Raw genomic sequence first — 13,628 nt, 5'->3', positions numbered from 1 at the left:
GCCGAGATCGCGCCACTGCCCTCCAGCCTGGGCTACAGAGCGAGACTCCGCCTCAAAAATACAAAAAACAACAGGCTCTAAAAACTACACACATGAGAGTGGAACAATAGACAATAAGGACTCAGAAGGGAGGAAAGAATGAATGATAAGTTACTTAATTGGTACAATGTAAGCTATTTAGCTCTTGTATAGCCCATGTAACTTGACCACCTTGGAGCATATGCACATAACAAAGTTGCCATCGTACCCCATGCAAGTAACAGTTTTGACAAAAAGCTCGACACTTTTGTTCTGTTTCAATGTAATGTTTAGCAAGCCATGTGTTAGGTAGTGGGCCTCTGAGGAGGGATACTTTAACCTACTGCATGCTGTCATCTATGAAATGAACTTCTAGCTCTAAGTGGACCTTAAAAAATATTTTCCTGTCATTTCACCATATGCTTGTCATAGACTGTGGAGTTGGATTTTCATGAGATTTTTTCTTTCTTTTTTTTTTTCAGAGAGAATCAGTCTGGGTATTAAACTTCAAGTGGTATTTTAAAGCTCTTCCTGGTTTCTAACCAAACTTTTCCATTATTTCCAGCTGTTTTAGAGTTTCCTCATGTGCTCTACATATGTGACTATCATGACCTCATTTTGCTCTTAAACTTTTTGAAGCACACATCTTGACCTAGGAGATATCTGGCAGAGATGTGAAGGCAATTTTTCTCCCTAGTGCTCTCAGCCAGCTCAGCCTCATATCTGTGCCTTCCTTTCTCATATTGGATTCACTCTTGCAAAGAGGCATGTATCCCAGCAACTGGTGCAGCGGTGTCCGATCTTTTGTCTTCCCTGGGCCACGTTGGAAGAAGAATTGTCTTGGGCCACACCTAAAATACAGGATCACTAAAGATAGCTGACGAAAGAAAACAAAGGAAGGAAGGAAGGAAGGGAGGAAGGAAGGAAAAAGGAAGGGCGCAGTGGCTCACATCTGTAATCCCAGCACTTTGCATTTTGGGAGGCCGATGCGGGCGAATCACGAGGTCAGGAGTTCCAGACCAGCCTGGCCAACATGGTGAAGCCACGTCTCTACTAAAAATACAAAAAATTAGCTGGGCATAGTGGCAGGCGCCTGTAGTCCCAGCTCCTTGGGAGGCTGAGGTTGCAGTGAGCCGAGATCACGCTACTGCACTCCAGTCCTGGTGACAGAGTGAGACTCTGTCTCAAAAAAAAAAAAAAAAAAAAAAAAGGAAGGAAGGGAAAGAAAGAAAAGTCTGTGCATAATTTTTGTGATATCCACCATCACAGATGAACAAAAAAGTCCTCACATTCAAAGGGTTGGATACAGGTATAAAGTTTTTGGAAACTTAAGATTTGATTCAGAAAAACAAACAACAAAAAAACACTTTTGATCCATGGGGCCAGAAGCCTCTTCCCACAATTAACTTAGAGCTCTTTTAGTGGCTGTTTGCTAGGTGTAGGAACAACTTGACACTGCCTCTTCCAAGCTTTGAAGATAGTTCTCTTCTCACCTCTTCAAGGATTTTCCCTCCATAATAGAGCTGAGGCCATGTTTCTAGGTTTAAAATTTAGAGCTGCCACTTCATAGCTGTATAACCTTTGACAAGTTATTAATTCTCTATCTGGGCCTCATCTTGTATAGCTGTAAATGTAGCAAATTAATAGAAACCTGTAGAACATATTTAAGATTACTTCCTGTCAGGTAGTAAATGCTGAATGAGTGTCAGCTCTTATTGTTATACCCTGGCTCCATTACACATGGAGTTTTGGGGTTTTTTTCTCCTGGACCTTCTAAGTTTTGTGTTTGGAACAGTGGAAAGTGCTTGGTTAGATCATTTGCTCATGAAGATCTCCTTTTCTTTAGTTCTCAATTTGCATTGTTCGGTAAGAGGCCTATACAATATCTGTGTCTCTGTGGAGAAATTTATAACACAGCAAAAGGGCTAGGTAATAAATAGCTTAGGGTTTAAAGGCCATATATAGTCTCTGTCACACACTCTTTAGTTTTTAGTTAGTTTGCTTTTTCGAGACAGGATCTTGCTCCATTGCCCTGGCTGGAGTGCAGTGCTGCTATCATTGCTCACTGCAGCCTTGACACCCTGAATTCAAGTGATCCTCCCACCTCAGCCTCCCGAGTAGCTGAGACTACAGGCATGTGCCACCACATCCAGCAAAATGTTTTGTATTTTTATTAAAGATGGGGTTTTACCAAGTTGCCCAAGCTGGTCTCCAACTCCTGAGCTCAAGCAACCCACCTATCCCAGTGTCCCCAAGTGCTGAGATTACAGACATGAACCACCGTGCCCAGCCTTTGTTTTTGTTTTTTTTTTTTTTAACAATACTTTTAAAACATAAAGACACTTCTTAGCTTGAGGGCCATACAGAAAAAAGCCATTGTCCAGATTTGGCCATAGTCTGCCAACTTCTCCAGGAGTTCTTAGAAGATGAAGTGCATTGGCTACTTTAAATTTTCTTGCACAGCATTTCAAGAATGAGAAATAAGTGACTGTTGATTTCATTAGGAATCCAAATCATCATTTGATCATTTTTATCATCCAGGCATCCTGTCCAATCCCCTCCACCTCCCATAAATTGTAAACTTCATTTATTTCAACCTCAGTGTATTTGCCTATGTTTTCCTGAGTTCCTCTGAACCTCTATAATGTGAAGTCGCTCAATATCCAATCCAACCTTTTCACAGTCAATAGCCAGATATTCTTCTAAAATATTAGCGCTAAAACACACAAAAATACCCATATTGATGTATCCTGGCTGCTCATAGAAGAGAGTATTCCTGATGGTGCAGCTTGTTAAATGTGGGTGGAGATTCAGGGGGAGCAGTGAGAACATTTCGAAAACCTGACAGTGTCCTGGGCCACCTAAACAGTTTGTGCATTTGAGGATCACTGGGAGCTCTTGAATAATTTTCCACAAGTTTGAGTTTTCTCTAAACTGAATTATCTATATTATTTTTCTTCCCCTTTTTTAATGGATTTGCCCAGGAACTAAAAAGAGAAAACACTCTAATTAGAAAACATAACACATTTAAGTTTGAATGTGAATCTGAGTAGTTAGATCCTTAAGTCAAAGCGATTTGTATTACTGGTGCTGCAATGCAGAAGAAGTCACTCTGACTGTGGAACTCTTCCAAGCTGCAAAATCCCATTCTGTAAAGACATTAGCACATGGAAACTCCTAGGACACAGAACCAGTTTGTAAAGTCAAGTCTATGTGGTTAAGTTGGGGCTGTAGGCAACCAGCTGTCCTGTGCCTGTGTTACTTGCTACAGTTAGAAACAAACTTCATGCCCAAACCAAGGAACCCAGTGTCTTTTCTCTTGCAAAAATCAAAGCATGAACTCATGGGCAAATTTTTAAAAATAACTTTCACTGGATACTTAGTAGAAATTTATCGCGACACGCTACTAACTAACATGATGCCCTCAGCCCAATGGATTCTTATGAAAAGCTGAAGGGATTTTTTAAAATATCTTTCATCAATTGCACAAGATTCTTGAAAACACAAACAAGTATGTGAACCTGGAGGCTGTTTTCCTCCTTTGGAGCTTCAAAGTGCCAAATTCTGTACCATTGTTTTAAGCATTTAATCAAATTTTGAGGACTAACAAACACAATTTGGGAGTCCAACCGCGAGCGGCGGCGGCCAGAGGGCGGTGGATTGGACGCTCCACCAATCACAGGGCAGCGCCGGCTTATATAAGCCCGGGGCCCGAGCATAGCAGCAACGCAAAACCTGCTCTTTAGATTTCGAGCTTATTCTCTTCTAGCAGTTTCTTGCCACCATGTCGGAAACCGCTCCTGCCGAGACAGCCACCCCAGCGCCGGTGGAGAAATCCCCGGCTAAGAAGAAGGCAACTAAGAAGGCTGCCGGCGCCGGCGCTGCTAAGCGCAAAGCGACGGGGCCCCCAGTCTCAGAGCTGATCACCAAGGCTGTGGCTGCTTCTAAGGAGCGCAATGGCCTTTCTTTGGCAGCCCTTAAGAAGGCCTTAGCGGCCGGTGGCTACGACGTGGAGAAGAATAACAGCCGCATTAAGCTGGGCCTCAAGAGCTTGGTGAGCAAGGGCACCCTGGTGCAGACCAAGGGCACTGGTGCTTCTGGCTCCTTTAAACTCAACAAGAAGGCGGCCTCCGGGGAAGCCAAGCCCAAAGCCAAGAAGGCAGGCGCCGCTAAAGCTAAGAAGCCCGCGGGGGCCACGCCTAAGAAGGCCAAGAAGGCTGCAGGGGCGAAAAAGGCAGTGAAGAAGACTCCGAAGAAGGCGAAGAAGCCCGCGGCGGCTGGCGTCAAAAAGGTGGCGAAGAGCCCTAAGAAGGCCAAGGCCGCTGCCAAACCGAAAAAGGCAACCAAGAGTCCTGCCAAGCCCAAGGCAGTTAAGCCGAAGGCGGCAAAGCCCAAAGCCGCTAAGCCCAAAGCAGCAAAACCTAAAGCTGCAAAGGCCAAGAAGGCGGCTGCCAAAAAGAAGTAGGAAGCTGGCGTGTGAAAACCGCAACAAAGCCCCAAAGGCTCTTTTCAGAGCCACCCAGAGACCTCTAAAAAATGGCTGTGCACAACATGTTAGATCAGGCAGCAAGATTCCTTGCATTCGAAAAATCTCGGGCAGTTCTCCCTCAACCCTAATCGAGTAACGCAAGGCAAGCAAGAGTCCAGGGTGTTGGTTGGACTCCCCACGTAGTTTACCCATGCAGTCTGTTATTAGAGTATGAATTCCAGCCGTTGGTTTTTGTTAAGTTGGTGTCAAGCTTTTTGTCAGACGCCTAGCTACAAAGAAGCTTCTTATATTTTAAAAAGCCCGCTCTATAATCTGATTGGCCAGTTTTTGTTCCATCATCTGTATGTGGTTTTTCCGCGTTTAAGCCATTTAGGCACCAGCTACTTCGGCGTCACTAATGTGTTCGGCATTAATATAATATGCTATCAACGCACAAGACAATATAGTAGCAAGTTTCAAGATGGGGTCTCTATTACATGCCAATTTGATATGACCGTGTCATTCTGTACTGGATTATTTTTTTTTCCTCAAGTCAGGTTCTCGCTGTCACCCAGGCTGGCGTGCAGTGGCGTGGTCTCGGCTCACTACAGCCTCAGCCTCCCCGGCTCAAGGGATCGTCCCACTTCAGCCTCTGTGAAGTGCTAGGACTAAAGGCGTGCACCACCCCGGTCGGCTAATTTTTGTATCCGCTATGATGCCCAGGCAGATCTCGAATTCATGAGCTCCAGCGATCTTCCCGCCTCAGCTTCCAAAAGTGCTGGGATTACAGGCGTGAGCCACTGAGCCTGGCTCTGGATTTTTTTTTATTGGTTCTAGTTCATATAACACGAGATGAATAAACACAGCGAACATTCTTGTAAGCCCTACATTAAATAACTAGTTCACATTCTGACTTAAACATGTCACCTGAATCCTGTAAGGTTTTTCCTAAAAGTCATTCCTAAGCTCTAGATGAAAAATGCTTTATCTTTTCATAACAAACGTTCCAAATGTTTAACCAGTGGCCCAGCTCTCCCGCAGAAATAGTAGGTGGCTCTGAAAAGAGCCGTTGTATTGGAAAGTGATTCTATGGAGACATTATTTGCCTTTGGCCTTGTGGTGACTCTCGGTCTTCTTGGGCAGTAGCACAGCCTGGATGTTGGGCAGGACACCACCCTGAGCGATGGTTACTTTGCCCAGCAGCTTGTTGAGCTCCTCGTCGTTGCGGATGGCCAGCTGCAAGTGGCGCGGGATAATGCGGGTCTTCTTGTTGTCGCGGGCGGCGTTGCCCGCCAGCTCCAGGATCTCGGCAGTCAGGTACTCCAGCACCGCCGCCAGGTACACCGGCGCGCCGGCCCCGACCCGCTCAGCATAGTTGCCCTTGCGGAGCAGTCGGTGCACTCGGCCCACGGGGAACTGGAGACCGGCACGAGAAGAGCGGGTCTTGGCTTTGGCGCGAGCTTTGCCTCCCTGCTTGCCGCGTCCCGACATGACGAAGAAACGATAAATGGAGGAACTGAGAACAGCCGAGAGAAGTTCACCAGAGCTCCACTACTTATAGTCAATACTGGGCGCGAAAATAAAGCTGTGCCATTGGCTCAAATTACAGTTTTATTTCAACCAATGGAATCGCTGTTATGAAACATGCTTCTTTGGATTGGACAAACGTGTATATGACGTCATCTAGAATCGCCACCAGTCCTACACACTATTTTATTAATCACCTCATTTGCATAAGAATTCGTGAACAGGACGTTACAACACACAGCTTTTTCTTCTTCTTCTTTTTTTGTTTTTTTAAGACAGGGTCTCCCTCTCGCCCGGGCTGGAGTGCGGTGGTACGATCTCCGGTCGCTGCAACGTCCGCTCCTGGGTTCAAGTGATTCTCCTGCCTCGGCCTCCTGAGTAGCTGAGATTACAAGCGTCAGCCACCATAGCCCGGCTAATTTTTGTATTTTTTAGTAGAGACAGGGTTTCACCATATTGGTCATCCTGGTCTCAAACCCCTGAGCTCAGGTGAGCCACCTGCCTCAACCTCCCAAAATGCTGGGATTAAAGGCGTGAGCCACAGCGCCCGGCGACTTTTTTTTTTTTTTTTTTTTTTTTTTTCCCTTGAGACAGGGTCTGGCTTTGCCGCCCAGGTTGGAGAGCAGTGGCGCGATCGTGGCTCACCGCAACCTCCGCCTTCCTGGCCGAAGCGATCCTCCTCCCTGAGCCTCCCCAGTAGCTGGGGTTACAGGAGTGCATCACGCGCCCAGCTAATTTTTTACATTTGTTTGAAGAGTCATGGTTTCGCCATGTTGTTCAGGCTGCTCTCGAACTCCTGACCTCAAGTGATCCGCCCGCCTCCGCCTCCCAAAGTACTGGAATTACAGGCGTGCGCCGCCGCGCCCGGCCGCTTTTTCCTATTCCTTGTACCCTTTCTGCAGTTAAACTACAACACGCCTGACCCCACCAAGTCGGCCACAGCCCCGAAAAAGGGTTCCAAGAAGACTATTACTAAGGCAAGAAGCGAAAGCGCAGCCGCAAGGAGAGCTGCTCCGTGTACTTGTACAAGGTGCTGAAGCAGGTCCACCAACACCGGCATCTCGTCCAAAGCAATGGGGATCTTGAACACCTTCGTTATGCCATCTTCGAGCGTATTGCGGGCGAGGCTTCCCGCCTGGCGCGTTACAACAAGCGTTCGACCATCACCTCCAGGGAGATCCAGACGGCTGTTCGCCTGTCACGCATGCTGTGTCCGAGAGCACCAAAGCCGTAACCAAGCACACCAGCTCCAAGTGAGCTCCTTGCTGGTTCGTCCACTTGGAACCCCACTAGGTTCTTCCTGACTCACACTCCACTAGGTTCTTCCTGACCCACACCCTAAGGACTCTTTTCAGAGATATTCACACTTCCTAAATAGAACTGACGCTCGTTTATCCCTAGTTTTGAAATGTTCAGTTAGCTTTAACCTAAAGCCTTTCATAAATGCTTCTTAATTTATGCAAAAGATACATTGTGGCCTTATGATATTTCCAATATTATCTGCTACTAAGTATTTTATGTTACAAACGTCAAATACACAAAACGGGAGTTTTATTGTGCGAATTTCACTTATCCAGGCTCAATTTCAACACCGAGAATCCCCTGTTGAGTTATTGTCTAGAAAACCAAGTATTTAAAGTAAAAGTCCTATCAACCTCTACTGAAATATCACTGGACGTTTTGCAGGTTACACCACAATTTTCAGGCCACCTGGTAGGATACTCAGTGACTACCATGTAATCCAGGTGGCATTCTCTTTCAATTTTTCTTTTATAACATGAAAGCAGGGAATGTGCTTTCTTGCCTAATTTGCACAAAATGACCTAAAGGTGTTGAGATTAAAATGGAGAAAGAGGAAGGAAAGAAATTAGAACCAATTTATATTACCTCTTCCCACCAGTTAGAAATGAGGTTTGGATCCTTCCTTGCTAATCCAGATGCCATGCTGGCAGATGGAATTTTTCTACTAATTACTTTTTTCTACATTTGTCCTAAGTAGACCAAAGTACTCCACGCTTCTCCCCACTTTCACACCTGTCCTATGAAGTTCCTCTAATTTAAGATGTAAATTGATTATGCTTCATGTTTTCCTCACCTTTAATGTCTCATCATTATAAGGAATGGCATTTGTTTACCATAATTTTAATATGATCAAATTTTTTCTTGGTTAAGAGTTTAGAATGTAGGTCAGTTTCTTTTCTGAGTCAGCTCCACATTTCATCTCACTCTATATTCTCCTTACTGTTTTTTTCTGTAATAAGGGGGAAATTCTAAACAAAAAGGCAATCTTTTTGAAATGTGAAAGTGGGAGAGTCATGAGAAGGCCTTTTCTCCAAGAGAGAAGTGCAGTCTCCCAGTTTTTAGGCTGGGAAAGCCATTTTGCCTTTTCCAGGAATCAGTGTGGAAATACAAGTCCCAATTGTTCTACAGACTGTCAGATACCAGGATCATGAAACCTAACACCTTTGTTGTTTTTCTAGGTATTAGTCAATCTTTTCTCATCAAAAAGCTGGAGGCCTTAGAAGGGCCTATGTGAATGAAAAGCACAAAATCTAGGCTGAATTTATGAGCTCAGAGAGCCAAGGACAGTTAAGGCGCCAAGGACAGTTAAGCAGCCAAGTCTGCAGACAAAGCTAGTGACTGTCTTCTCTCCAACTTCCAAAATGTTGCTAGAAACATTTACAGAAGTCTATTGCTAGGCCAACGCTGTGGCTCATGCCTGTAATCCCAGCCTGTTGGGAAGCCAAGGTGGGCAGATCACTTAAGGTCAGGAGTTCAAGACCAGCCTGGCCAACATGGTGAAACCTCGTCTCTACTAAAAATACAAAAACATTAGCCAGGCCTGGTGGGCATGCGCCTGTAATCCCAGCAACTCGGGAGGCTGAGGCACGATAATCACTTGAACCTGGGAGGTGGAGGTTGCAGTCGGCCAAGATGACACCACTCTACTCCAGCCTGGGCAACAGAACAAGACTCCAACTAAAAAAAAAAAAAAAAAAAAAAAAGAGAAAGAAGAAGTCTATTGCTTTACTAGATCCACCCACATTATTCAATCTGAAATTAGTACTGTTACTGATACAGTCAAGGAATGAAATAATATTAGGCTCACAAAGTACAATTATTATTCCCTGAAATGTTTCTTATAGCTGTCCTCCATTTCTGTAGTCACTGTTGGTTCACCATTCAAATTCTGTCCACACTTTGAGGCCAATCCCAAGTCTTACTTCCCCTGAAACCTTTTTTATGTCTTAAAATTTGCATTGTTTTTCTGTCTTGAAGCTTCTCTAGAGTTCCTTCCTGTTTGAACCATTCCCACACATATACACCCTGCCTATGAGCAAGCAGAGACCTTCTTGTCTTTCCTGTATCTTTATAATTTCAGTTCCTTTAGAACCAATAATCTCAGAAATACAATTTGTTTCTACATAGTCTTCTATTTGTCTTTAATATTTTTGTTTTGTAATCCATTTTTTTCTTTTTTTTAATTTTTGGTAATCTATTTTTAACCCACATTACCTGTCTTCTCTTTTATGGTTGGCCTATGGGACTTACACTGGTACTCAGTGTTGAAATTAGGAGACCAACTCCTAAAACAAATGACCACTTCAGGAGGTCAAGATTTTGGTTTCTTTGACACCCAGCTTCTATATTTGTAAGTTGGAGATAACAGCAATTCATAGTCATGTGACCATTGTAAGGATCAGTGAGAATACTTTGTGAATTATGATTATACACATATTTCATATATATTAAAGAGGAATCTTATATATTTATTCAGCATTTGAAAGGCTTAGGGCACCCTCGCCTATCTATCAAACTGAATCACAAAGCTCCGCCCATGCAGTGCTGCTTTCCAGTTCTTTTTTTACTTTCAGTAGATACTTTTTGAGCACATGCTGTGTGCCAGAAACTCTTCTAGACCAGAAATATTATAGTGAACTAAACAGACAAAAAGTTATGCACTCACAGTTTATTTTCTAATAAGGGAACAAAAAATATATATCTTTTATGATGTAAGATAATATTAAATGTTGGGGAGGAAAATAAAGCAGAAAAGAAAGATAGGCTTTGTATTTCTTATTTTAAATAACATAATTACAGAATGTTCATCAAGAAGGTGAAATTTTTAAAAAGATGAGGAGATGAGGGAGTGGGCCTTTGGGGATTGTAGGCAGAATAAAAAATGAATAAGTAAAGAGGCCCTGAGGTGTTTGTGGGAAGGAGAGATACTTGGTATTAGTCAAGGAACAGCAAAGTGGTCAATGTGGCTGGAACAGAGGGAACAAGGAGAAAAGTCGCTGGAAGTGGAGTAACAGAAATGGGGAAGCAGCTTCAAGAATGTGTAGGAACTTATATGACACTATAGTATCTTTGGATAGTATTGTCCTATATTTCAAATTTTTAATAGCTGTAGAAAGCTGTGGGTTTTGTGTGACCAGCTGTACTCATCTTAACCCCCTGATCCTGGACTTTAAAGGGACAACATGCAAGGCACTCCACATGTGTCATTACTTCTTTGTTCAACTTCTCAGAAAGGACATAAGGAAGGAAAACCTCCCAGGGTGAGTCAGGGTATGAAGAATCCCAAATAAGTGCCAGACCCTTCCCTAAAGATATGGGAACTCAAAGTCTTTCACTCTCAGCAGTTGCCTTTTTTTCCCCCAGAATAGTACTCTTTCCCCACAGCTTCCTGAACTAAACAAATGCTGGTGGGAGAATCACGAATTTTGAATGTGTGTCCAGTTTGGGAGCATCAGAAACACCACAAACATGGGCCTGTGACAAATAAGACTGTTTCAAACATTTAAAGCCATGCCCACCATGTGATACATGTCCCTACTTCTGAATTTCAGTGTTCTGCAACTTCTTATTTCTACCTGTCTCAGAGCAAGACAGCGAAATCTCTCATATTTCCTTGTGTAGTACATTATCCACATAATTAGGTAATAATCAAATGGCCCTTTCAATTATACATCAGTTTTTTTTTGTTTGTTTTTTTGTTGTTGTTTGTTTGTTTGAGATGGAGTTTAGCTCTTGTTGCCGAGGCTGAAGTGCAATGGCGCAATCTCGGCTCATTGCAACCTCTGCCTCCCGGGTTCAAGCGATTCTCCTGCCTCAGCCTCCAAAGTAGCTGGGATTATAGGCAAGCGCCACCACGCCTAGCTAATTTCGTATTTTTAATCGAAACAGGGCTTCTCCATGTTGGTCAGGCTGGTCTTGAGAACTTCCGACCTCAGCTGGTCCACCTGCCTCGACCTCCCAAAGTGCTGGTATTACAGGCGTGAGCCACCGCACCTGGCCGCATCTGGTATATTTGAAACTCCCCGGGTGATATTATGCCTGTAAGGGCTGAGAGACACATTTTTCAGTGTGTACTGTGGAAACAGCCTAAAAGATGGCATCTGATATTTGCATCTTTGGGTAGCCCTTTCCACATTGCACCAGGGTTGGTCAACAGAATATGGCAGAAGTGATGGTATGTCACTTCCAATATTAGATAAAAGATTTCCATCTTGATCATTGCCCATCTCTCTTGGATCACTCACTCTAGAGGAAGGAAGCCAGCCCTTATTAAGAGTAGCCCTCTAGAGATGTGTGGGAAGAAAATGAATCCTCTAGCCAACAGTGACATAAGGGAACCTCTTCTTGCAACTTGGAAGCTACAGTCCCAGTCAAGCTTTTAGGTAATCACAGTCGTTGACTGAAACCTCATGAGAGACAGACAGTGAGTAAAAACCATCTAGCTAAGCTGCTCCCAGATTCCTGACCCTCAGATAGCTCTGAGAGGTAATAACTCTTGAACAAAGGTAATAACTCTTGAATAAAGGTTGAACCTTGTCATAGCTCTTCCAAAAAATTTCCCCAAATTATAGCATTCCAGAATATTTACCCTTTCTGAATTCGTATAGCAGTTACAGTTAATATTACAGCATAATTTATATTTCATATAACATAAATAGACTTATAATTTATAAAGATAATGTAAAATACTGTAGTCTTTAGCGTCATGGGGAATTGGTTCCTCTAGCATGCCAAAAGCCCTGGATGTTCAAATCCCTTGTATAAAATGGTGTAGTATTTGCATATAACCTACATATATCTTCCCTATATTTTAAATCATCTCTAGATTACGTATAATACTTAAAACATGCAAATAATATATAAATAGTTGTTATATTGTGGTTTTTTCATATCACTTTTTTATTGTTGTTATTTTTGATGTTTTCCCCTAAATATTTGGATCCTTGGTTGGTTGAAACCATGGAAGCAGAATGCACATATACAGAAGGCTGGATGTATAACCATAGTATCTTTTGCCATTTCCGGTTTTATGACATTGGTTATATTATTTTATGTAGTATTGTTCAAACTTCAGTTACGTGAGTAGCACTTTAAAATTTTTTTTCTTTTTCCTGTATTTGGATACAAGCTACACTATGTAGAAAATGAAATCAATTTATTTTAAAAGCTTTACATCACTATTCTAGTGGAAAATTTCTACTTCTGATAATAAAGAGAAGGTAACTATAAAACAGCATAAAATAAAACAATAATATTCAATTATAGTTATATGCTCTTTGCTATCTACTACTTGGAGCCTAAAAACTGCTCTTTGTTATAAAATTGAAAAATAAAAAAGAGAGAGAGGAAAGATTAACAAGTGTTAGAGAGGCCTTAAACATCGACTAGCACCAAATTGACACTTTTCCAGTCAGTTAATCAGAAAGATTTAAAGAGAATAGAAAAGAGAATGATATTCTTATTCTCTGTTCCAACATTTAAAAAAGCAAAGTTCATAAACTACTTATAAACATTTTCCACAACTCTAGTGGTACTTGATACAGATCTGAGAAAACACTGGTTTCACTAATGTATTATTTATTTGAGCCACTATTGTATGCCCAACTCAGGAAATATAAAAATATATGACCTGGAGAAGCTTACATTGTGGTGGAACATTTACAAAATTATACTTACTTTTATTTCTCAAGCTTATTTTGTTGAAAGGAAAAGTAAATTGTAATGACTGTTTCACAGTAACTTTCATATATACACCTCATCCAGGTTCCAAGAACATGCTTGGAAGCAGGGACATCATCTCATAAAGTCCTTGTAAGAAAAGTGGGATTTTATTATTATCTCCATTTTGCAGACAATCAAGAGAATTACACACTCATTGAGGTATTTAAGTTACCAGGCTAGCAAATATGGAGTAGGATATCAATCTCCAAGGGGCTCCCAGGGCTATGCTCCTTCCCTCTGTTTAGGCAGCTTGGTAGGTTCTTCACTAATGTGGAATATCAGAACAACCTGCTTCAGTGCGACATCCACTTTTTCTATTTTCAATATTTTGTTATTCACATATTTATCTTGCTTATTTCCCTGTACATCTGAAAATTCTTGATTTAGTTTGCTCTAATACTCTGTTAGGGACTCCTGAATGTCAGAATTTACATTATGGCTCTGCATTTAATGATCTGCCCACAAGGATTAAACCATATGATACTTAAATCTTGCTTTTGCCATATTGGGGAAAAAATAACATTAGTCATCAGCTGCCATTTACTGAGTGTGTACTATCTTCTAGATATTATGCATTACTTAATTTATTTTT

At 42.3% G+C, this 13,628-nt stretch overlaps 2 protein-coding genes and 1 pseudogene across 2 annotated transcripts, besides 10 other annotated features; 2 read left to right on the top strand and 1 right to left on the bottom strand.

Moving 5' to 3' along the window:
* Window positions 152–789: an enhancer, noted in NCBI's record as "NANOG-H3K27ac-H3K4me1 hESC enhancer chr6:27838321-27838958 (GRCh37/hg19 assembly coordinates)". NCBI's record gives its function as "activates a minimal SCP1, AML or CMV promoter by ChIP-STARR-seq in primed H9 embryonic stem cells {active_cell/tissue: H9 hESC(primed)}" and the evidence as "EXISTENCE:reporter gene assay evidence [ECO:0000049][PMID:30033119]".
* Window positions 790–1,429: an enhancer, noted in NCBI's record as "NANOG-H3K27ac-H3K4me1 hESC enhancer chr6:27837681-27838320 (GRCh37/hg19 assembly coordinates)". NCBI's record gives its function as "activates a minimal SCP1, AML or CMV promoter by ChIP-STARR-seq in primed H9 embryonic stem cells {active_cell/tissue: H9 hESC(primed)}" and the evidence as "EXISTENCE:reporter gene assay evidence [ECO:0000049][PMID:30033119]".
* Window positions 3,485–3,554: an enhancer, noted in NCBI's record as "active region_24330". NCBI's record gives its function as "activates an Ori minimal core promoter by ATAC-STARR-seq in GM12878 lymphoblastoid cells {active_cell/tissue: GM12878}" and the evidence as "EXISTENCE:reporter gene assay evidence [ECO:0000049][PMID:35858748]".
* Window positions 3,744–4,540, top strand: H1-5 (H1.5 linker histone, cluster member). Its single transcript, NM_005322.3, has one exon. It carries the CDS (start codon window positions 3,803–3,805, stop codon window positions 4,481–4,483), a length of 681 nt encoding a protein of 226 aa, NP_005313.1. The 5' UTR covers window positions 3,744–3,802; the 3' UTR covers window positions 4,484–4,540.
* Window positions 3,815–3,924: an enhancer, noted in NCBI's record as "active region_24329". NCBI's record gives its function as "activates an Ori minimal core promoter by ATAC-STARR-seq in GM12878 lymphoblastoid cells {active_cell/tissue: GM12878}" and the evidence as "EXISTENCE:reporter gene assay evidence [ECO:0000049][PMID:35858748]".
* Window positions 5,476–5,997: an enhancer, noted in NCBI's record as "NANOG-H3K27ac-H3K4me1 hESC enhancer chr6:27833113-27833634 (GRCh37/hg19 assembly coordinates)". NCBI's record gives its function as "activates a minimal SCP1, AML or CMV promoter by ChIP-STARR-seq in naive H9 embryonic stem cells {active_cell/tissue: H9 hESC(naive)}" and the evidence as "EXISTENCE:reporter gene assay evidence [ECO:0000049][PMID:30033119]".
* Window positions 5,495–5,544: an enhancer, noted in NCBI's record as "active region_24328". NCBI's record gives its function as "activates an Ori minimal core promoter by ATAC-STARR-seq in GM12878 lymphoblastoid cells {active_cell/tissue: GM12878}" and the evidence as "EXISTENCE:reporter gene assay evidence [ECO:0000049][PMID:35858748]".
* On the bottom strand, window positions 5,534–6,015 carry H2AC16 (H2A clustered histone 16). Its single transcript, NM_003511.3, has one exon. It carries the CDS (start codon window positions 5,975–5,977, stop codon window positions 5,585–5,587), a length of 393 nt encoding a protein of 130 aa, NP_003502.1. The 5' UTR covers window positions 5,978–6,015; the 3' UTR covers window positions 5,534–5,584.
* Window positions 5,835–5,924: an enhancer, noted in NCBI's record as "active region_24327". NCBI's record gives its function as "activates an Ori minimal core promoter by ATAC-STARR-seq in GM12878 lymphoblastoid cells {active_cell/tissue: GM12878}" and the evidence as "EXISTENCE:reporter gene assay evidence [ECO:0000049][PMID:35858748]".
* Window positions 6,195–6,264: an enhancer, noted in NCBI's record as "active region_24326". NCBI's record gives its function as "activates an Ori minimal core promoter by ATAC-STARR-seq in GM12878 lymphoblastoid cells {active_cell/tissue: GM12878}" and the evidence as "EXISTENCE:reporter gene assay evidence [ECO:0000049][PMID:35858748]".
* Window positions 6,325–6,394: an enhancer, noted in NCBI's record as "active region_24325". NCBI's record gives its function as "activates an Ori minimal core promoter by ATAC-STARR-seq in GM12878 lymphoblastoid cells {active_cell/tissue: GM12878}" and the evidence as "EXISTENCE:reporter gene assay evidence [ECO:0000049][PMID:35858748]".
* On the top strand, window positions 6,931–7,270 carry H2BC16P (H2B clustered histone 16, pseudogene; annotated as a pseudogene).
* Window positions 7,055–7,234: an enhancer, noted in NCBI's record as "active region_24324". NCBI's record gives its function as "activates an Ori minimal core promoter by ATAC-STARR-seq in GM12878 lymphoblastoid cells {active_cell/tissue: GM12878}" and the evidence as "EXISTENCE:reporter gene assay evidence [ECO:0000049][PMID:35858748]".

The sequence above is a fragment of the Homo sapiens genome, chromosome 6, assembly GCF_000001405.40.
Source record: "Homo sapiens chromosome 6, GRCh38.p14 Primary Assembly".
NCBI lineage: Eukaryota > Metazoa > Chordata > Mammalia > Primates > Hominidae > Homo > Homo sapiens.
The sequence above is the reverse complement of the archived record's forward strand: the minus strand, read 5'-3'. Positions and strand labels throughout refer to the sequence as shown.